The sequence below is a fragment of the Homo sapiens genome, chromosome 2, assembly GCF_000001405.40.
Source record: "Homo sapiens chromosome 2, GRCh38.p14 Primary Assembly".
NCBI classification, from domain to species: domain Eukaryota; kingdom Metazoa; phylum Chordata; class Mammalia; order Primates; family Hominidae; genus Homo; species Homo sapiens.
Window position 1 is genome coordinate 170,723,202 of NC_000002.12, and position 23,943 is coordinate 170,747,144.

Consider the following 23,943-nt stretch of genomic DNA (forward strand, 5'->3'; position numbering starts at 1 on the left):
TATTTGTCGATTCAATTCATATTTTATTTAGTACATGGCTGATGTTTCCTGTGAATTTGTGAACATCAGTGGGAAAAATACATGGCAATAAAGTAAAATTATAAAATACAGTAGAAGATTATGGTTTGAGGTAATACCAATTTGGATAGATTTTAGCAAGTAAAAAATATACAAATGAAGTATATTTATATACCCAAGTCATTAAACAGCCCTTTATTTCTTGAGCTATAATTTTAATGAGGGGAATGTGAACTAAGACCTATAAGCACATAGCTATGTATAGTTCTCATTGTGGTTATTACCTTTGATGGAGACTTGTTTTTCTTTTAAGCCTTTTTCTCCCCTGTTTGATCCTTGAAGTCCATGTCATCTCTTGATAGTACTGCAGACAGCTGCCAAGAAAGTCATTGTGGTAAGAAATTCTGTAGTGAGCCTGGGTTTGAAGTAGAAAGTTGCCAAGTTGTTTTCTAGGGAGAGAGCACTCCCTTCATCAGTCATGATTCAGACTTGTCAATAGCAAGCCTGCGTGCCCTGAGCAGCCAGCAGCTAGAGGCTGTGGGGCTGTGGCTGCCCCCTTGCTTCTGGAGCAGGGAGGTCTAGGAGTAAAGAAAGGGGAAACAAATGGGGAATAACAGACGTGGAGAATATCCTATCTAAACAGGATATCAAAAGGGGTTGAAATAGGGTCATTTAGGTAGAAGTAGAAAGGCAAGGTTTGAGCACCTTCTCAAATTTGAAATGGACCCCAGGAAGGAAGGTGCCTCCCTCACCCCAGGTTTTTGGAATTTTGTGTTTTGTGTTTTGTTTTTTTTTTTAACTAAAGGTGAGTATGAGTAGGCTGTAGAGGAGATGTGGTGGACTTTAACGACCTTTGGACTTGAATTATCCTTATGGTCTCTTCCAAAGCTGAAATGCCTCAAATCTAACATCTGTAAGCCAAAAAGTCTGAATAAATCTTATTATAGCTGGGCACAGTGGTGCATGCCATGCCTATAATCCCAGCTACTTGGGAGGCTGAGGCAGGAGAATTGCTTGAACCCAGGAGGCAGAGGTTGCAGTGAGCGGAGACCACGCCACTGCACTCCAGCCTGGGTGGCAGAGTGAGATTCTGTCTCAAAAAAAAAAAAAAAAAGAATATGTGAGCTGCATACTTAACTTGATATTTGTTGTTTATAATTATTACATGTAGGAAAGCAGGCACAAAACATGTACACATCACTAAATTCAATTTACCAAACAATGATTTGAAGTCTACAAGATGTAAGGTACAATGAGGATTTAAAGATGAACACAGTCCTTCAAAGAGCTCACAGTCACAAAGGAGATAAAGCATAGGCACAAATGAATGTAATACAAGGCCTAATGCCTGATAAAAGCGACCAACAAAACTCCTCTAAAAACACAAAGGAAAGAGAAATTACTTCAGGTAATAACAATGATAAACTTTTTTATTCCACAAATGGATATTCTGCTTTGAAAAACAATCTCCAAACTGCATCTGTGGCATTCAGAATCCAATTAGATTTTTATTCAGAGCTGTTAGTTCAAGACATTGGTCCCCAGACCTGCAGCATCAGCATCACTTGGGAATCACTGGTTAGAAATGCAGATTCTCGGGTCCAACCGCCAGACTTACTAAATCAGAAACCCTGAGAACGGCCTGGCAATCTGTGTTTTAACCAGCCCTCCAGGTGATTCTAATGCACACTGATGTTCGAGAACCACTGGTTTAGGAAACTGCACGTTTTAACCATGTGCAAGATGGAAAATATATAAGCAAATTCTAGCCTAAGACATTTCTCACAAGTTACTTTGGGGAAATAGAAAATGGATAGACTGGCCAGGCACAGTGGCTCACGCCTGTAATCCCACCACTTTGGGAGGCCGAGGCAGGCAGATCACCTGAGGTCAGGAGTTTGACACCAGCCTAACCAACATGGTGAAACCCCACCTCTACTAAAAATACAAAAATTAGCCAGGCATGGTGGTGCACACCTGTAATCCCAGCTATTCGGGAGTCTGAGACAGGAGAATCGCTTGAACCCAGGAGGCGGAGGTTGCAGTGAGCCAAAATCACACCATTGCACTCCAGCCTGGGCAACAAAGCAAGATCTGTCTCAAAAAAAAAAAAGAAAGAAAGAAAAGAAAATGGATAGACCATTTGGCTGAAATTCTCACCCAATTGAGAATATTGGGCTCTAACTCCCAATGAGAATACAAAAATAGTCTTAATTAAATATTGATCCTTACATGCATGTTATGTAATTGTGTAGACAATTGTCCTTTTATAGTATGTAATACCAATACAGTATTTACATTTTTGAATTATAAATCACATATTTTAGATGTTAGTGGAATTTTCCCCATTAAGTCGAACAGTGACTTTAGCAATATCTGGTTTCCTAAAGGGAATACTGAGCTAACTAAGCAGTATTTAGTATCATTGGATGATTAACAACTAAACATCATGAGTCACATATAAACTCCACCACTAAGAGTAAAAAACACGTATATATTCTGTGCTGCAGAAATGCAATGATGGCTCTTCTAAAAGATAAGCGTAGTCACCACCAGCCTCTGTTTTGCTACAGTAGCTTTTTAAAACTACCCACAGGGAAATGTAGGAGCCTGGAGCTTCTCTGTAGTACACATGAAAACCTTAGAAGGTTGTGGATATTTATCTAAACCAAGAATGTTCACTTTCCTCTGGTTCTAGCCCAATCCTCATTGGTCCACCTTTTTTCTCCTCTACAAAGTCTTTCTTGCTCAAAGTGCATTTCAGGGCTGTATCCCAGACCAGAACATGATTTAGTAAAAATTTTTTGGCAGTTTATTTCTGACCTTTGGAATTGTAGAAAGCTGCTGGGAATTACCAGTACCAGGGAAACCTGTAACATAAATGAAAATACCTCTATGATTCTATGATTTTTTTTTTTTCAGAGAATGGGCCCCTCACTCTGCCCCCAAGTCTAAACTATCTAATCATCATTGTTTGGGGTCCTTTAGGAGGCCTCCCTAGTGAACAATAACAAGAAGCTAGGATGATGCTGACTGTAGCATATTCCCAAGGAGGCCCCAATCCCTGAGAGATCAAGGGAGCTCTCTAAGACAAGATAAATCTTCCCAGCCACAACTTACAGAATTTAGCATGTTGGGGTTGGAGACTTAAAAATCACCGACTCTGAGGCTGGGCACGGTGGCTCAAGCCTGTAATCCTAGCACTTTGGAAGGCTGAGGCGGGTGGATCACCTGAGGTCAGGAGTTCAAGACCAGCCTGGCCAACCATGGCCAAAATGGTGAAACCCCATCTCTACTAAAAATACAAAAATTAGCTGGGCGTGGTTGCAGGCGCCTATAATCCCAGCTACTCAGGAGGCAGGAGAATCACTTGAACTGGGGAGGCGGAGGTTGCAGTGAGCCGAGATCACGCCACTGCACTCTAGACTGGGTGACAGAGGGAGATTCTGTCTTTAAAAAAAAAAAAAAAAAAGAAAATCAGCAACTCTGATTCTCTCATTTAACAGAGGAGAAAACAGCATGCCAGATCCAATGAAAACATCATTATCCATGTGCATTACACAAGTAAGCACATTCAATAGGAATCCAGCAGCCTAGCAAAGGGAGAGATGGTTGAGGAGCATAGAGACTGAGAGAAGACTCGGAAGAAGTATGGAGAGAAGCTTTGGTCTGAAGTTGCCAAAGTACTAAGAATGGTGGCTCTCAGCTTTTTACATGCATGAAAATTACCTGGGATGCTTATTTAAATGGAGGATCCTGAGCTACATCCCTAGAACTGCTAATTCGTTTGGTCTAGTGGTGAGGAAGCTAGTTTCATTATAAACATCACCCCAGTGACTCTAAGACAGGTGGTTGGAAGATCACCATTAGAGAAATGCTTCCTTACAAGAGAAAACCTAGTGAATGGGGTAACATCTACACATTTTGACAACGGCAAATGCTCAGGTAATAAATCCATATCTGATTTTCCTTTTTAAAAAGTCCACAGCTGATTGCTGAGGTCTGACACAATATATTCCATGATCTCGAAGAGGAGAAGTGACTTAGAAGTTTTATCTTATTTACCTGGGTCTGTGCCAAATGCTGTAGTAGATGTCATGACCCTTTCCCTGTCAAAATATAAGAATAAAGACACTAAATGATCACGTGGGTTTGCTAAATTCCCAACTAAAATTAATTAAATTCTGAACTGAAGTCACAAAAATTGAGTTAAATATATATGTTCTAGATATTTTATTCTGGGCTCATATCTTTCTGTGACAGTTCAGAATCAGAGTCATTGAGGTTTATAACCAAAATGATTTCAGAGTTCACCAAATCAAGCCTCTTTATTGTACAGATGAAGCAACCAATACTCATCAAGGTCCAGCCCTCATAGAGTTTGCATTCTAGTAAAGTCACCGTACTGTAAAATCTTACTCCCTCACCTGATATCTTACCTCTTTATCATTCCATTCACTTTTAGATTCATGTATTCCACAAATATTTATTCAATATTTACAGATGGCACAGATGAACATCCATCATGAAAAAGTCATACAAGGTTCTTGCTGTCACGGAGCTGGCAGTCTAGTAAGAAATACAGAACGTTGACAGGAAATATTTAGGAACATCAGGAGAGCAGAGGCTATTCACTACCACATACTGGAGCCTAATATAATGCCTGGCACATACTATATACTCAATAAGTATTTGTTGTGAATATAAGGTACTACAAGTATGGTCAGTATAGTAAATATGCCATAGTTTTAACTGGTAGTGTCTCTTCCCATTGGCATCTATAAGAGGTGGGTTCAGATTAAAGACCAGAATCCCTTTCTTCCTTGAGCTGTTTGAGTGGGGATATGGTGGTGGTTCTAGGAAGATGCTAACTGTCTCTGTCTGTCTCTTCCAGATCCTGGGTCTGATGGCTTCTCTGAGGCAATCTCAACTTCCCAATGTCTAACAGTCATTCCTTTGCATTCCCCAAGTCTCATTTCTCCAGCTTTTAAAGACATTCCTGTACCACTACCTTCCTGGCTATTATCATAATCTAAACTAACTTAGAAGAGTATGTTGAGTGACCATTCAAAGGGAAAAAAAAAAAAAGCAAAAACCACAAGGCAGGAGGTGGAAGAAGCCACAGCTGAAGAGAGAAGGAGAGTGTCTCAGATGGAGAAGAGATGGTAGTGGTGTGGGTATGTGTTGTGTGGAGGACTGATGGATCTGGAGGTATGGAAGGGCCATGCCTCAGAAGGAACAGGTATGGTGCTCCTAAAACAGTTAGACCCAGAGCAGCAGTCTTAACAAAGACCCCTATGTATTAGTTTTTTTTTGTTGCAACAAATTACCACCAACTTAGAGGCTTCAAACAACATACATTTATTATCTCACGGGTTCTGTGCATCAGAAGTCCAGGCACAGTTTAGTTGCGTCATCTGCTTCAGGATCTTACATAAAAGGCTACAGTGAAGGTGTCAGCCAAGGCTGGGGTCTAATCTGAAGGCTCGATTGGTAAGGGATCCATTTCCAAACTCAAGTGGTTATTGGTAGGATTCAGTTCTTTGTGGGCTATTGGACTGAGGACCTCAGTTCTTTGTTGGCTATTGCCTGGAGACTGACTTTGGTTTCTTGCTATATGGGCCTCCCCAACATGGCTGCTTCATCAAAGCTTGCAAGCTGCAAAGGCAATAAAGTCAGCTAGGAAAATGGAGGTACATCTTTAATAATCTAATCATAGAAGTGGCAGCCTATCAACAGTCTATTAACTTGAAGGAAGTCATTCAAGAAAAAGGGATTACACAAGGGCATGAGTACCAGGAGACAGGAATCATTTGAGGCCATTTTAGAAGCCACCTACCACACCCTGTGATGCACACTGTCAGTAATATGGAGTTACATATATAGGCCATAAAGACTTGGGCAAAGAGTTTCTCAGCATCAGTCATGATGCTTTCCTACTGATGAGAGACTGCCAATCCCACCCATTCATATTTTCTTTCTTCCTTTTGGTAATAGTAATCCCCAAGTTTTTGGGAGGTACATGATTGTCCATCTAGAGATGACATATCCCAGCCTCACTTGCAACTAGTTGTGGCCATATGACTAAGTTCCCACCAATGGCATGTGAGCCTAAGTGATGTATGTCACTTCTAGGTCACATCCTTAAAAGAAAGTTGCATGCTCTCCCTTTCTTCTTTCCTCTTTCTTGAGGCTGGAATGCGGACATAATGTTGGGCATTTAACTCAATCATGTGGATAGGACAACACCCGAGAGGATGGCAAAGCAACAAAACAGAAGGCATAAGGGTCCTCAGACCATCACAAGAAGCAGAGCAGCCCACCTTTCCTGGGCTGCCTACCAGCTGGACTTTTATTTGAAAGACAGACCATCTTGTTTAAGCCATGGTTACTTGGTACCTGTTACAGCAACTAAACAAATATCCTAAATGATAGATCACAAAATGCTTCTAAGGCAGTTATTAACGGTGTTCCTGGTGAGTCTTCTTGGGACAGCTGTGAATTACATCCTTTTAAAAGAGTACCTGAGAAAGCAAGCCCAGGTGATATCACCATTTAAGCCCCTCTTAGGCTGTGTTTGCTGATGTCCTCAAAATGCGTTCTCACTAGCTTAAGGGTGTCTTCTTAGGATGCTGCTATGGAAAACTCCATCACTGTTTTCCAGCTTTGCCCATACTCAGGTACCAAGAGGATTTCACTCATGTGATTCTTCATTTATTTCACTATTTTAGGGGCTCTTCTCATGTGGCAGTCACTGTGTCAGGCGCCAGGGAAACAGCAGACAGCAGAACAGACACGAGCTTTACACTCTCAGGAAGCTGATATTCCAGTAAGGCAGGAAAGACCCAATAAACAAGATAATTTCAGGGAATTATACAACAAAACAGCAACCTGAAATTTGTCTTCATGTCCTCTATAAATTACACAGGCAAACTGAGTCTATCACGTTGCTGAATATCTTATGGTCTCTGTGATAGCTAGCCTCAGAGATGGCCCCCAATAGTCCTTGTCTCTTAACTGCCTCAGCCTGAAGGAGACGCATTACTTCCACACACATTCCATTGGTGAGAATTAGTCCCACAAACACACCTAGAAGCACAGAGATTGGGAAACATAGAGAAGCACATGGATATTTGTTGAAAACTAACCGTGATCTGCCAACATGCTCATCATAAAAATTCAAGCAGGTCCGGGCACAGTGGGTCATGCCTGTAATCCCAGCACTTTGGGAGGCCGAGGCAGTCCGATCACCTGAGGTCTGGAGTTCAAGACCAGCCTGACCAACATGATGAAACCCCATCTCTACTAAAAATACAATCAGCCAGGCACAGTGGTGGGCACCTGTAATCCCAGCTATTTGGGAGGCTGAGGCAGGAGAATCACTTGAACCCAGGAGGCAGAGGTTGCAGTGAGTCGAGATCATGCCGTTGCACTCCAGCCTGGGCAACAGGAGCAAAACTCTGTCTCAAAAAAAAAAAAAAAAAAAAAAATTCAAGTAGGCGGGGCGCAGTGGCTCACGCCTGTAATCCCAGCACTTTGGGAGGCTGAGGAGGGTGGATCACTTGAGGTTAGGAGTTTGAGACCAAACCTGGCCATCATGGCAAAACCCCGTCTCTACTAAAAATACAAAAATTAGCCGGGCATGGTGGTGTGCACCTGTAGTCCCAGCTACTCGGGAGGCTGATGCAGGAGAATCACTTGAACCCAGGAGGCGGAGGTCACAGTCAGCTGAGATGGTGCCACTGCACTCCAGCCTGGGCGACAGAGCTCAACTCCATCTAAAAAAAGAAAAAAAATTAAGTACAAAACAGAAGTAGACAATAAAAGGGTTGCCTTATCCTCTACCTCTGTTGAAAAAAAAAAAACTGTTAACATTTGGCTCATTCATTAAATCAACACAACTTTATGTATCACCTTCAGTGTGCCTTGCCGTGTCCCAGATGCTGGATATGATTCCTAACCTCGTGGCTTCCAGTTTGAGTGTGTGTGTGTGTGTGTGTGTGTGTGTGTGATTTCCTCATTTGCAAAATGGTTATAACAATAGTGTCTAACTTATAGGGTTGCTGTGGGGATTAAGTTGTACAGGTTAACATGGAATACAAGGGAATGAAATAATGGTGTTTGCAGCAACCTGGATAGAGTTGGAGACTATTATTCTAAGTGAATAGATAACTAAGTGAATTAAATAACTCAAGAATGAAAAACCAAACATTGTGTGTTCTCTCTTATAACTGGGAGCTAAGCTATGGGGATGCAAAGACATAAGAATGATATAATGGACTTTAGGGACTCAAGGGGAAGGGTAGGAGTGGAGTGAGTGATAAAAGACTACACATTGGGTACAGTGTACACTGCTTGGGAGATGGGTGCACCAAAATCTCAGAAATCACCACTAAAGAACATTTCCTTGCAACCAAACACCACCTGTTTCCCCCAAATTATTGAAATTTAAAAAAGAAAAAAATTCATTCATTAAAAAATAAAATATATAGATTAAATAACTTAGAAAAATGGTACATAACAAGTACTCAATAAAATTGTTTTGCTGTATATGCACAATATAAATATTTAATAAAAACAGTATTATACTACTTATATGGTCCTATTCTATGGTCTACTCCTTAAACCCTTTCAGTAATAGGGCTCAATTTCTACTTCAAAACATAGAAGATGGAGTTCATCATTTTAACCACTTTATCCATTGTCTGGATTTATCCTATATTTAGCCCAGAGATTCACAGATGTGGAATTCATGAATGGGCATTGTATGCTGTTATAGATGGAATGTTTCTGTCTCCTCAAAATTCATATGTTGAAATCCTAACCCACCATGTCATGGTATTAGGAGGTGGAGCTTTTGGAAGGTCATTAGGTCATGAGGGTGGAGCCCTCATAAATGGGATTACTGCCCTTATAAAAGAGACCCCAAGGAGTTCCCTAGTCCTGTTTCTGCCATGTAAGGATGCAATGAGAAGTTGGCTGTCTGAAACCTGAAGAGGGCCCTCACCAGAACCCAACCATGTTGTTACTCTTACCTTGGGCTCCCAGCCTCCAGAACTATGAAAAATAAATTTCTGTTGTTTATAGGCTACCAGGTTTATGGAACTCTGTTATAGTAGCCAGAACTGACTAAGACATATGCAAATTTTTTAATGTCCAAATTTTTCTGGAGAGTGCATCCAAACTTTAGTTGAATCCTGAAAGAATTCATAATCCAAAAGCAGTAAAGAACTGTGATTTAAATGGACCAATCCTTGACCTTGATCAACTATGTTTACTTTTTTGTGCACCAGTCTCTCCATCTGTGTGTTTAGTTAAATCATTCATCCTTCTGGACTGGGCGTGGTGGTTCACACCTGTAATCCCAGCACTTTGGGAGGCCAAGGTGGAAAGATCGCTCGAGCTCAGGAGTTCGAGATCAGCCTGGGCAACATGGCAAAACCTGTCTCTACTATAAATACAAACAAACAAACAAACAAGTTTAGCAGGGGATGGTGGCACATGCCTGTAGTCCCAGCTACTCGGGAGGCTGAGGTGGGAGGATTGCTTGAATCCAGCAGGCAGAGGTTGCAGTAAGCAGAGATGGCGCCACTGCCCTCCAGCCTCAGTGACAGAGCAAGACATTGTGTTAAAACTAAATATATAAAAATCATTTCTCTTTCTTTTCTGGAAATGTGAAAGCTTTCTAGAAAATAGATAAAAACAGCAACATAGAACCCAAACCAACAATTTTACTAGGTTTAAACTTAATGATTCCTTTATATTTCCAGCTCTTCAGTGGGACAGAATGAATTGTCAACCTCTTAGATATACTTGAGTTTAGTTAAACAACCCCTAAATATCTTCCCAGACCAGGCTTTAAAAATCTGATTTTCTGTTTTCTTTCTTCATAAGGCTTACTTTTTTCCTCTGAAGAATATGGCCTTGTTTTAGAATTTCCCCTCTTTATAGTCATGCTAAAGCACCACTCTTGAGAAGATACATATGTTCCATTAAACACTTGAAAAGCATCCTTTTAATGTGTTCCCAATGCTAGAACTTAATGCTGCTATCTATAAAGTCTAAATTTTTGATGTTGAAAATGTACCTTTGAATATCAGTGATTTAAATATTAAAAAGCCACAAATAAAATCTTTAAAGGAGAAAAATGCAACTACCCATTTTGATGCTTTGGGATTTCCAAAGAGGCACAAAGAGTATGTATGATCTAGGAAAATCACTTCACTTCTCTGAGATCATATAAGTGGAAGAGAGATTAAAGAATTTCCAAATGTAATTCCTTAGGACCTTGGTGACTGATGAGATGTGTCAGGAGTCTCCTTGTAGATGGGGTGTTCTACTTCTGTCTCTTTCAAATCTTGAGCTCCTCTGATAACTACCAACAGCTGGATGATCCCTTTCACTTCTGTTATGAGTCTTACCCCATAATTTCAAGCATACTCTGTGCCCCTCAAGGCCATTGATTGATACACAGTATTTCAATACCCAGTGTTGTAAAAGGGAAAGAGAAGAAAATAGTGGAGTGGAAGAAGCCACAAGGAAGAGAGGGAGAAAGACCAAGGAAGACTGAGAAAAGGAAGAACCAAGTTGGCCAGCCTAGTAAAGTGAGGGATGACTCTTTAGATAGACCCCACAGGGAGCTTCAGTTTAAAGGCTTACCCAAAGTCAGGGCTTTCTCCCTCCAGAGAGCTGGAACTTTAGAGAAGAACCTGTCCCTGGCAGAACAGCTGCTGTAGTTCCAGTTCATAGGAGTTTGCAGGGCATGATGAGCATGTCTGTATTGTAATGGGAAAGGACTTCAGACTCTTGGTCTGCCAGCTAATTGCATGACTTCAGGCAAGTCATGTAACTCTGATTCCTTATCTGAAAACTGAGGAAGGAGGACTGGATGATCTCTTGAGGTCTTTTCCTGCTTGAAAATGACATGATTCTTATGAACGCTTGTGTATCTAACCAGGTGTTCTGGCTTACCTATTGCTAAGTAGAACCACCCCAATACTTAATGGCATAAAATAGTAACCATTGTACTATGCTCATGTACTCTGCAGGACAGGAATTCACAAAGGGCACAGTGAGAGTGGGCTGTGTCCTACAGTGTCTGGAGCCTCCTTTAGGAATGACTCCATTGGGGGTGACTTGAATGCCTGGGAGCTAGAATCATCTGGAGACTGCTTTGCTGACATGCCTGGTACCTGAGCTAGCATGAATTGAAGTCTGAGCTCAGTTGAGTTTGTCAACCAGAGCACCTATTTGTGGCCTCCACACATGGCTTGTGTTTCACACAACATGGCAGCTGGGTTCCAAGAGGGAATGTCTTTTTAATGATAATTCTGTCACAATTTATTGGTTATAAGCAAATCACTAAGGCTAGCCTAGATTCAAGGGAATCTAGTTCTGGAGTAGACTCCAGAACTTGAAGGGGGAGTGGCCAATTCACATTGCAAAGGATCCATCTTCCACTGTAAACCAAAAATAAAATTCTAAGCCCCCCAGCCAACTGAATGGACTCCTCCTCTTGGCCAAGGGCATTCCAAAGTAAACCTGAAAAACTAGTTCAAGCCATGATGGAAAGGGAGGGTTAGACATGCCTCACTGTGCCCTCCTCCCTTGAAATTCAGGCACAACTGACCAGCATTAGCATTGAAACAGAGATCTGAAGACTGACAAAAGAGCTGGCGTGGTGGCTCACACTTGTAATCCCAGCACTTTGGGAGGCCAAGGGGGGTGGATCACCCGAGGTCAGGAGTTCAAGACCAGCCTGGCCAACATAGTAAAACCCTCTCTTTACTAAAAATACAAAAATTAGCCAGGTGTGGTGGTGCACACTTGTAATCCCAGCTACTAGGGAGGCTGAGGCAGGAGAATCACTTCAACTTGGGTGGCGGAGGTTGCAGTGAGCTGAGATTGCGCCACTGCACTCCAGTCTGGGAGACAGAGAGACACCCTGTCTTAAAAAAAAAAAAAAAAAAAATATATATATATATATATGGACAAAAGAGACTGTTTGTAACAATAAGATACCAAATTCCAGGCTGACTGTAGTATAGCATCACACGACAAATAGCAGGCCCTGAAAGTAATCAAAGTATTTTACCCCTAAATATGTTTCTTTGATGTATTTTGCAATGACCCTGAAAAACTATCTATCTCTGTTGGAGAAAATTCTCCATTCTGTAGAAAATCCCCTTCTCTTTACAGGTCTTTTCCTGATCCAGGAGAGATTAAACTGAGTCCGGTATCCTTTAGGGTCTGATAAGAGACATTTACCATCTATTCTCTCTGAATCCTGCTAGCTGGAGGCTTCATCTACATAATAAAAACTTTGGTGTCCACAACCCCTTAACTTAACCCAGTCATTCCTTTCTATTGATTCCAAGTCTTCTTTTTTTTTTTTTTTTTTTTTTTGAGACAGAGTCTCACTGTGTTGCCCAGGCTGGAGTGCAACGGCATGACCTCAGCTCACTGCAACCTCTGCCTCCCGGGTTCAACTGATTCTCCTGCCTCAGTCTCCCGAGTAGCTGGGATTACAGGCATGTGCCACCATGCCCGGCTAATTTTTGTATTTTTAGTAGAGACAGGGTTTCACCATGTTTGCCATGCTAGTCTCAAACTCCTGACCTCAAGTGATCTGCCCTCCTCAGCCTCCCAAAGTGCTGGGATTACAGGCGGGAGCCACTGTGCCCAGCCAACTCCAAGTCTTTAGATAATAACTTAGCTCTCTCTAGCAATTGCCAGTCAGAAAGTTGTTGAATCCATCTGTGACCTGGAAGCCCCTGCTTTGAGTTGTCTCACCTTTCTGGATCAAACCAATGTACACCTCACATGTATTGATTGATGTCTGCCTGTAACTTCTGTCCCCCTAAAATATATAAAATCAAGCTGTAACCCAGCCACATTGGGCACATGTTCTCAGGACCTCTTGAGACAGCGTCTCGGGCCTTGGTCACTCATATTTGGCTCAGAATAAACCTCTTTTACTATTTTACAGAGTTTGACTCTTTTCATCAACACCATCATCTTTGGAAAAGCGCAATCTGTCACAGCCCACATGCCAGCAATAGCCGCTCACATCCCTCCCACGTAGAAAAGATGCAGCCACCGATGTGACTCTAAATACTGTTATAAGACCTCAGAAAGATTTCAGATGGTACCTCATGAACACTTTCAGACAGAAGTAGGCCTTTCAAGGATCTTAAAACACCACTTGTGTCTTTGGCCCTCAGGTCTTCCAGATTTCGAGAAACCATACTAAAGGGGCTGTACCCGAGAAACCTCATCAGCGCTGGCACCTGATTTGATGGCAAAATCTTGGACTTTGAACTGATGCAGTAATAGGATAAGACTCTGTAGACCTTCAGGAAAGGGAGAGTACATTTTCTATGTGGGAGGGATGTGAGCTGCTATTGAGACTGAATTTAGTATCAGAATGTGCCCCCAATTCAGCCATTGCACTGAGGACCTTCAGAATGCTTTGCTAACTAGAAAGACTGATTTGAGCCCTCCATACTTCCTCTAAAGTGTGCTGGAAAACTGACAGTTCCTCTTTCTCCAGCCATATTTCATCATAAGTAGAAACAAATTGACACTTTAAATTGTCTGCCAGGAAATATCCTTGGCCAAACCCACTGGTTCATTAGGTATATTTTCTATTTTCAGTGTTACTGTAGGTGGCAATGTTGCTAAACCTTTTGCTACATTTAACGAGGTCACTTTTCTTCCACCCTCCAGTCATAACTTCCTCCCCATCTTTCCAGCCTTCACTGGTAGTCTTCTCAAGGTCAGTCCAGCTTTCACCAACAAACTTCTCAAGGCCATTTAAGCCTGAAAGACTGAATATACATACAGACAATGGCCAGAAAATATGAAAAAATAGAACTCTGACCCACAATCTGCAGCAACCAACCTAGAAAACCAGCCCATGATTTAGAGAAACCAGCCGAAGAAGCAAGCCTACTAGAAATCAGTCTGCTATCTCTAGCAACAATCCAGGAAACCAAACAATAGCCTCTGTAACAACTGGCCCCAAATGACCAAGACTTGATTAATAACTGACAGCTTCCCTAATTTTTTTATTTTTGTCCCCACTTCCAACTTACAGCCAACCAGGGAAAGCCAAATGTGCAGTCTAACCAGTCAAAGAGGATGCCCCACTTCTAGTTAGCCTAACTAAAGCTTCCCAATGCCAGCAGCCTCCAATAGGGCATACCCAAAGCCTTCCCTTTTTTCCACTAAAAGCTTTCCCACTCCCGCCTGCTTTTGAGTGTCTTCCCAAATGCAAGTAATGGCAGCTGGCTCCCTTGCTACAGCAAGCTCTAAATAAATAGCCTTTGGTTATTCTCATTTGGTTGATCTTCCTTTATTTCCACAAGCTTCTTTCTGCTGACTAGTCAAAAGCTGATTGCTTTCGCTTATGTTTTGGGTTTTTGTTATGGGAGAATCCCACTTCCAGGTACCAAATTCTGTTCTGGTTATCTATTACTCCACAACAAACCACCCCCAAAACTTAGTGGTGTAGACAATAGTTATCTTACTGTGCTCACAGATTCTGTGGGTCAGGAATTCAGATACAGTACAACAAGGATGGTCTATTTTTGCCCCACAATATCTAGGGTGTCAGTTGGGAAAACTGGAATGACTAGGGGCAGGAATCACCTGGCGGCTGCCCCACTCACATGTCTGTTGCCTGGGCTAGGGTGGCTTGAAGACTGGGCTCAGCTGGAGCTGGCAACCAGAAAACCTGCCACGTGGCTTTCCCATGTGGCTTGGCTCTTCACAGCATGGTGGCTGGGCCCGGTGAGGGAGTGTCCTGAGAGGCACAGCCAGGCCGTGAATGTTCTAAGAGAAAGGTGGAAGCTGACTGACCTTTCTGATTAGCTTTGGAAGTCACATTTGTTGGTTCAAGTGAGTCACTTAGACTAATATATATTCAAAAGGAGGGAATTAGATTCTGTGTCTTTTTTTCTTTTTTAATTTATTTAGTTTTGAGACAGAGTTCTCCATCACCCAGGCTGGAGTGCAGTGGCACAATCTCAGCTCACTGCAACCTCCGCTTCCCGGGTTCAAGCGATGCTTGTGCCTCAGCCTCTTGAGTAGCTGGGCTTACAGGCATGTGCCACCATGCCCAGCTAATTTTTGTATTTTTGGTAGAGATGGGGTTTCACCATGTTGGCCAGGCTGGTCCCGAACTCCTGACCTCAAGTGATCTGCCTGCTTCAGCCTCCCAAAGTGCTGGAATTACAGGCATGAGCCACCGTGCCCGGCCAGATTCTGTCTCTTGATGTGGGAGTGACAAAGTCCCTCTGCAGAACACGTGGAATGGGAGAGACTGTTGCAGTCATTTTGGTAACTATGATTTGCCACTCCAGGCCACCCTCTTCCTGAAATCCATCTATTCATTTATTCATACATTACTTATATTTACCCTGCTTTCTTTCAAAAATAATTTCAGAGCTGAGTACAGTGATGCAAATGTGTAGTCCCAGCTATGCAGGAGGCTGAGGCAGGAGGATTGCTTGAGCCCAGGAGTTTGAGACCAGCCTGGGCAATATAGTGTAGAGATGGGATCTTGCCATGTTGACCAGGCTGGTCTGGAACTCCTGGGCTACAAAAATTTTTCAAGAAATTAGTTGTGCATGGTGATATGTGCCTGTAGTTCTAGCTACTTAGGAGGCTGAGGCAGAAGGATCATTGGAGCCCAGGAATTGGAGGTTACAGTGAGCTATGATTGAGCCACTGCACTCCAGCCTGGGTGACAGACTGAAAGACCCTGTCTCTAAAAAAAAGAAGAGGAATTTGAGGAAACTTCATTGTAGTTAGAAGACGTATTGGTGGGCATGGAAGCAAAACAAAGGAAGTTGGTTGCTCTCAGGTGATAATTTCATACAGGTATTCACTTATTCATTCCGTAGGTATTTTTTAAGCATTAACAATAGGCTCACGCTGTGGTCAGCACAGATGTGAGGGGAGCAAAATTAATACAAATCCTGTTCTCATGAAGCTTAAGTCCAGTTGGCAAGGCAAACACTGTAAAATAATCACACAAATATGTAACTATGAGTGCTGCGTAGCTCACAAATGTTATGCAGTCATGGTCCAGGAATGTGCTGCATAGGAGCTTGGTCTAGTCCAAGCAGTTAGAGAAGACTTCCCTAAAACAAAGCAATATTTAAGCTAATAAATAACTCAACAATGAGTAAAAAGTAATTAAACTAGGGTGTTGCAAAGTATGTTACAGAAACTAGTGGTACACAGATATATTATTGTCATTATTCTGTATTTTATGGTTTTGCATTATTTGTGGCCAGTGAAATTGGCTTTCCATTTACGTTGGCATATAAAATTTCCTTGTAAAATAAATGTATTTAAGTTTTAAAAGCTGTCAATGTAAAAAAGATCATAAGAAAAATAATAGAGTACGCATTACACAGAAAGGGCAAACATGAAGGTGTTAGGTGTAAACCTGAAGCTTGGTAAATACTGGACTAGGCGTGTTGGAGGATGGGTTGAGGAGAGGAGTCATGGGCATAAAGGGAGCTCCTGGTGCAAAAGCCTGAAGTGGAAGAAAGACTCAGGGGTCCAACAAGCAGAAAAGGAGCCAATATGGTTTGAGCAGAAAGAAAGAGGAAGTCACTCACTGTGAGCCAGGAGAGGCCAGCAGGACCTTGATATTCAGGGACTTTAGTTCAGAACTGAAACCCCCTAAAATCAAAATGAGCAGCTGCACTTTTTTTCCCTTAAATATTGTACTTGTGGAAGCTTACTACAAAATCACTGATACTTCACTGAGTATTTCAATAGTGATTTTTTTTTTTTTTTGAGACACAGTCCTGCTCTGTTGCCCAGGTTGGAGTGCAATAGTGCAATCACAGCTCATTGCAATCTCGACCTCCTAAGCACAAGCGATCCTCCCACCTCAGCCTCCCAAGTAGCAGGGACTGCAGGCACCTGCCACAATGCCCAGCTAATTAAAAAAAAAATTTTGTAGAGATGGGATCTTGCCATGTTGACCAGGCCCATTCTGGAACTCCTGGGCTCAAGTGATCCACGCACCCTGGCCTCCCAAAGTGCTAGGATTACAGGCAAGAGCCACTGCACCCAGCCTGAATAGTAAATTTTTAATAGAACAAACTTAGGCTATATAAATAACAACAATATTAACTTGCAGTGTCTAAGAGCTAATATTCCCACAGAAAAATAGTGTTGCTCAATCTGTTTCAATTATCCTAAAAGCAATGGGACACCATTGAAGAATTTGGGAAAGAGGAGTGATAAAACCTAGTTTTTGAGTTTTTAAAAAGTGATTTCTATCAATGTATCCATGCATTTAAAAAATTGTGCAGGAATGCTAATAATAATAAGATGCAACATTCTGCTCTCCAACCTCTTTCCCACCTCCAGAGACAACCACCTTACCTTTTTTCTGTTTGTATTCTCCTGGTGGTTTCCTCCTTCTCTCCAGAAAAAAATATGCTTCTATCTCCCTTTCTTGCTTTTTCACATTTGGACACTGCAGTGCATACATCACAGGTGCTTGCTTAGATATCTTAGGCTCAGCTATCTCCCAGCCACTCAGCCTGCCCTGCCCAGGGCATCCCAGTGGTGACTGACTGAGTGTGAGCATGTGGTTCCACCGCAGGAGCCATCAGGCCACATGCCTAGATCTGGCTTCCCCAGTGGCTACCAAAGGGGCCAGGTGACACAACTCGGATGTGTGAGGGCGTTAACTGCCCCAGCCAGCAAATTTTGACCAGCAGAAGAAAGAAGACAAAGTGAGCTTGCAGATGCATTTTCTCTCCCTCCTGCCTTTGAGCGACTGTCCTAGGCACAGTATTTCCATAAAGCCTGTCCAAAGAGGTCCTTTGTGACTGAGCAGCCAGCCACCTGCTGAGAAACCGGCTCTGTTTTTTCGTGGCTCTTCATGAAGCAATGGCCAGTGCAGTCATTCATCACCTTGTACTTGCTGCCATTCCTTCCCTGCCTCTCTTCCTTTTCCCCTGGCTCTCGCAGAGCTGGGTCTGTACCTCCCGACAAAAGCGTAAGCACTTAAGCTTTGCCTCGGGCTCTGTGTTCTAGGGAAATCAGACAAAAGCAGACATTGCCAATATTATTGATGAACTCAAAGTTATGATTCATATCATCACTTCCATCTCTCTCCCATGTTAATTCATTGTTTCTAGTTCTATCAGTTATGCTTACAACCATAAGTTACAACTTTCAATTTTGTGCTTATAAGTTTACTTCATTTTCTAACCATCAGAGCCAGTCTCTTGTTTCTGATACTTTGCAAGATGAAGACATTGGTGTCCTTTCCCTTCTTTTCACCTCTCCTTCCCTGATCACCTCCAAACCTCTGTCATCATACTGTACCATCCTTAAGGTTGAAAGCATTTACATACTGTTCTGTAATCATAATTATCTTCTGTTATTTTCCTAAGTGCTGATTCTAAATTTGAAAATCAATATGCAGTGTCAATCACTATGATGACTACCCATTGAACAGTGAATGTTTATTAAGAGTTTGCTATGTTTTGGGCACAGTTCTCTAGGCTCTAGGGATAGAACAGGGAATAAAAAGGACAGAAATCCTTGCCTTCACAGAGCTTTCATTTCAGTGGGGAGACAAACAAAAAACAGATATGTAAACTATAGAGCATGCTGGGTAATGGAAAGTACTAAGAGGGGAATAAGACAAGGAAGAAGAATAAGAGTCGATCAAAGGAGCTGAAATTTTAGGTAGGCTGGGCAGGGAAGGCTGCTCTGAGAAGGTAACTTAAGGAAGTGAGAGATCAAGACAAGCAGCCATCTGCTGGAACAGCATTCCAGGCAAAGGGAACAGCAAGTACAATGGCCCTAAGACAGGAGTGTGCTTACTGTATTCAAGCAACAGCAAGGAAGCTCATGTGGCTAGAGAAGATTGACCAAGGGGGATAGTAGAGGGGAATAAAGACAGAGAAGTCATGGGGAGCAGATCATGGAGGGCCTTAGAAGTCAAAGCAAGGACTTTGGCTTTTACTATAGCAGAGGCAGATAACCTTGAGAGGGTTTGAGCAGTGGATGGACAGGATCCAACGTACACGTGAACATGACCCACTCTGGATACTGTGATAAGAAGAGACTGAAGGGGGTGGGGAGGAAGCAGGAAAAGTAGTTGGGAGACTCGAAACAATCTAAGCAAAGGATGATGGTGGCCTGAAGTAGGGTGATGGCAGTGAAGGAGATGAGAAGAGGTCAGAATCTTGGTCTATTTTGAAGGTAGAGCCAATATGATTGGTGAATGATTGGATGTGGGAGAAAATGCAGTCAAGATGACTCCAGGGTTTTTACCTGAGCACCTGGAAGAGCAGAGTTGTCACATAAGGAGACGGAGAAGACTGTAGGGAGACTAGAGTTTAAAAGAAAAGATACAGGCTCTGCTGTAGCCAGTTTGAGTTGCTGTTTTATGTTTTGTTTTGTTTTGTTTGAGACAGAGTCTCGCTCTGTTGCCCAGGCTGGAGTGCAATGGCGCGATCTCAGCTCACTGCAACCTCCACCTCCCGGGTTCAAGCAATTCTCCTGTCTTAGCCTCCTGAGTAGCTGGGATTACAGGGACTCGCCACTGCACCAGGCTAATTTTTGTATTTTTAGTAGAGATGGGGTTTCACCATGTTGGCCAGGCTGGTCTTGAACTCCTGACCTCATGATCTGCCCACCTCGTCCTCCCAAAGTGCTGGGATTACAGGTGAGAGCCACTGCGCCTGGCCTTGTTGCTGTTTTAATTGTCTGTACTGCATAACCAATCACCCCAAAAACTTAGTTGCTCAAAACAGCAATTTACTGTCATCACTCATGGTTTCTGTAGGTCAGGAATTTGGATAGGATTCATCTGAGCAGTTCTTGCTCGAGGTCTCTCACTGAAACTGCCCCAGTTTTAGCTCTGAAAGCCCTGTGTCCTGGCAAATCCCTCCCAAGGATATGAAACGTTCTGGTTGTCAGTAACGGGGGCAGAAGTTGGAGAGAAAATACAAAACCTATACAGTGGCCCTGAAAACTAGAGACTGAAAGCCATGCTATTTATAGTGTTAAATGGATACAGCATAGACTCTCTGCCTTTGGGAGTCACTATCACTGATTTTTCCTGACCACTGAGGTTGGCAACAGTAGTTTGTGGTTAACATAATGGATCACCCATTGTGGCATCACTTCAAGTAACAGGAATTAAGTATACAACTTGAGTTGCAATTGTGGGTATTAATAGTCTGTTTGACCTAACCTATAGATTAACCGTTGTGCTTTTTTTTTTTTTGAGACAGGATCTTGCTCTGTCACTCAGATTGGAGGGCATTGGCACAATCATGGCTCACTGCAGCCTTAACTTCCCAGGCTCAAGCGATCCTCCCACCTTAGCCTCCTGAGTAGCTGGGACCACAGGCACGTGCCACCACACCCAGCTAATTTTTTATTTTTTGCAGAGACAGGGTCTCCCTGTGTTGCCCAGGCTGATCTCAAACTCCTGGGCTCAAGTGATCCTCCTACCTGGGATTACAGGCGTGAGCCATTGCGCCCCACCCAATGTCTGAAGATTACTGTGACCACTCTGGAGAACTAGGATAAGCCCCACCCAAAGTTCAGTTCAGATGTTAAGACTCATAATGCCAAGTACACCTCAAGAGATAACGGAAAGGTTGATTACTTACATACTTGAAGTCTCTGGGGAAAGCAGAGCAGGCCTCTCTGTAAATCCAGAATGGCTTGAGAGAGCAGGGAACAGAGACTGGCTCTGAGTTTTATTGCAGTTAGGGGGTGGGGGGCGGGGTGAGGGCTCCCCCGTTGGGAGGAGCTTATGTAGTTTGAGTCTCTCCACAGCACAGAGAGAACACCCAGCCTTTCTTATCAGCTTGCCCAGGTGTGGGGCAGACAGAGAGACAGAGAGGTGGGGCTCAATGCTGTTGCTAGTCAAACGCCAAAGAGTGGAACCAGACTCCTTATTCCAGAGAGAGTGCTAGTTTAATTTTTAACATTGTGAATATTGTGGCAATATTTTCTAAAAGTTCAGATCGTGAAAAATAGAACAACTGCAATATCACCAGCATGACCCAGATCTCGCTGAAAAGGAACGCTAAATGACTGTGTTCTTTTAAGGACAGAAGGAAGGACACATACGACTTGATTAGGGAGGTAAGTCGCCAAAATGGCGCACATTGCACAATATGCAGAAAACAGCTTTGGCCTGGGCGTTGCGGAAAAGGTGATTGCGAAAACACATGTGGACGCTGGATTTCACAATTCTGGGATTAGACAAGGAAGAATTTCTAAATCAGAAGAGGTTTTTTTTTTTGGTCTCCCAAAGACACCTAAGTTCAGTTAAGAACAGTGACCACTGAATTGGTATGGGCATACCACATGAACAAACACACAGTATTTTATCATTCTCTTGATGGCACTATGGAAGTGAGTGAAGTTACATTTCCTGATTCGCAAGCTGAAGCTATAATGTCCTGTGGGCAAACAAAAGGGGGAAATTTGAGAACTGACATGTTGGCCCCTGTAATAGGTTGCTAGGGCTGCCATAACCAAGTACCACAAAACAGGTGGCTTGACACAACAAATTTATCCTCTCATAGTTCTGGAGAAGGAAACTCTGCAATCAAGGCGTCAGCAGGACTGTGCTCCCTCCGAGGTTCTAGGGATGAACCTATTGCATGCCTCCATCCTAGCTTCAGGTAATCCTGGCAGTCCTTGGCATGCCTTCACCTGAAGCTACAGTATTCCAATTTCTCCTTCCAGCCTCACCTGGAATCACACGTCTTCCGTGTGTGTGTCTATCTGTCTGTCTGTCTGTCTGTCTGAATTTCCCTCTTAAGGACAGCAGTTATATTGGATTTATGGCCCACCCTAATCCAGTATGACTTCATCTTAACTTGATTACATCTACAAAGACCCTTATTTCCAAATAAGGTCACATTCACAGGTTGCAGGTGGACATGAATTTTAATGTTGGGGGTGACATTGTTCAACACAGTACAGCCCTTTGGAACTCATCTCATCAGGCTGTACCTATGATCATGCCTCCTATAACATATTAAGAAATGAGTCGAATTATAGCAACAACAAAATGTTTTCCTGCTCTTAGTTACTTTAATTTGAAAAATTGAGTTTCAAACAATTGCCTTATTTCTATGAAGATTTTAGTGAAACTACAGAAAGCAGAAAACAAAAAATTGTTGATACTTTGTTCAAAAAAAACACTAGACTTTCCTCATCTATCTGCATATTCAGCAGAAAGTGCTGCTGGGAAAATCCTGGGAAATTCCATTCTGTTTATAAACTTCTATAATACGGACTTGATAATAGCAGAGCTGCAAGTCAAAATGAATTTACATTTGACTGTATTCAGTTTTACCACTGCATAAAAGGAAGGAAGGATGTCGTAAAAGCTGCAGGCAGTTCAGAGAAATATTATTGAAAAAGGCGGCCGGGCGCAGTGGCTCACGCCTGTAATCCCAGCACTTTGGGAGGCCAAGGCGGGCAGATCACCTGAGGTCAGGAGTTCAAGACCAGCCTGACTAACATGGTGAAATCCCGTCTCTACTAAAAATACAAAATTAGCCAGGCATGGTGGTGCATGCCTGTAATCCCAGCTACTCAGGAGGCTGAAGCAGGAGAATTGCTTGAATGATCATGCCATTGCACTCCAGCCTGGGCAACAAGAAAGAAACTCCATCTCAAAAAATAAAAAAATAATAAAATAAACATGAAAAAGGCAACAGAAGATTAAAAAAAAAAACCTACCATATCACAGGACAGAAGGAAACATGTTATTGCAATTTTTTATTAAATATAGGTAATATCTGGTTAATAATACTATTTATGTTCTTTTAAAATATGTATTTTTCTTAAGAATATATAATAATAGAACCTGCAAAATTTAAATACCTAATATAGAGTTAAAAAAAGATAAAACAAATTGCTGTATCAAAGGACAAGAAGAAAGTTATTAAAATATTGTCATATTTTGCTCACACATGTTTAGTTAGTCCTATTGTTAATTACTTCTAATTGCATTATTTATTAGTCCCATTGTTTATTTACAAATTTTTAAGTAATTTAAATAGTTAATTTAAATTTATGTTTGTGTGCATATAAGATCTCTGATAGTCTACTTTTGAGAATAATTTAGTAAAGCTTTTAAATAAAAATCAGAAGTAACTCCATTAATTGCATTATATATCATAATTACATTTTTCTGTTTATTTAATGAAATAAAACTTCATAGCTGACTAAAAAAAAATTCTGTTTTTTTGAGACAGGGTCTCGCTCTGTAACCCAGGCTGGAGTTCAGTGGCATGATCTCATCTCACTGCAACCTCTGCCTCCCAGGTTCAAGCAACTCTCATGCCTCAGCCTCCTGAGTATCTGGGACTGCAGGCATGGGCCACCAAACCCAGCTAATTTTTTGTATGTTTAGTAGAGATGGGGTTTCACCATGTTGGCCAGGCTGGTCTTGAACTCCTGAGCGCAAGTGATCCACCCACCTCAGCCTCCCAAAGTGCTGGGATTACAGGCGTGAGCCACTGCACCCGGCCACTAGCAACCATTTTTTAATAGGAGGTAGATAATATTTAACACTTTATGAAAGTTGACTGTAAGTGAAATATTTCATGATATAATTTTATAAAATAGGTACTAACTATATTATTTAATACAGTACACCCAATCTGAAAGAAATCACATAAAAGTTTTATCTATAGCTTTTATTTAATATATCTTTTTAAAACTGGTAATCTCAGAAATCATTCCAGTTACAGTGGAAGAATTGTTGTTATTAACTTACACTGATTTGCTATTCAAAAAGGTTTTTTCTTCCTAGCTAATAACATAGCCCTAAGGATGAGAATAGAGAAAAAGGTTCTCTAATGTTTAAATACATTTAAAAAGTCATTTTTTTTT

The 23,943-nt window shown here is 42.0% G+C and overlaps 1 long non-coding RNA gene across 1 annotated transcript in view, besides 1 other annotated feature; it reads right to left on the bottom strand.

Annotated features, from left to right (window-relative positions):
• ERICH2-DT (ERICH2 divergent transcript) overlaps nt 1-23,943 on the bottom strand; it is a 70,399-nt gene that overhangs the window by 22,834 nt on the left and 23,622 nt on the right. Inside the window, exons 2-5 of the long non-coding RNA NR_110185.1 lie at nt 4,458-4,587; nt 4,084-4,127; nt 2,842-2,888; nt 303-392 (exon numbers count right to left, since the gene is read on the bottom strand). This is a non-coding gene — a long non-coding RNA (ERICH2 divergent transcript). The remainder of the gene's footprint in view (nt 1-302; nt 393-2,841; nt 2,889-4,083; nt 4,128-4,457; nt 4,588-23,943) is intronic.
• Nucleotides 20,498-20,792: a silencer, noted in NCBI's record as "tiled region #1892; K562 Repressive non-DNase unmatched - State 5:Enh". NCBI's record gives its function as "represses a minimal TATA promoter and a strong SV40 promoter by Sharpr-MPRA in K562 cells {active_cell/tissue: K562}" and the evidence as "EXISTENCE:reporter gene assay evidence [ECO:0000049][PMID:27701403]".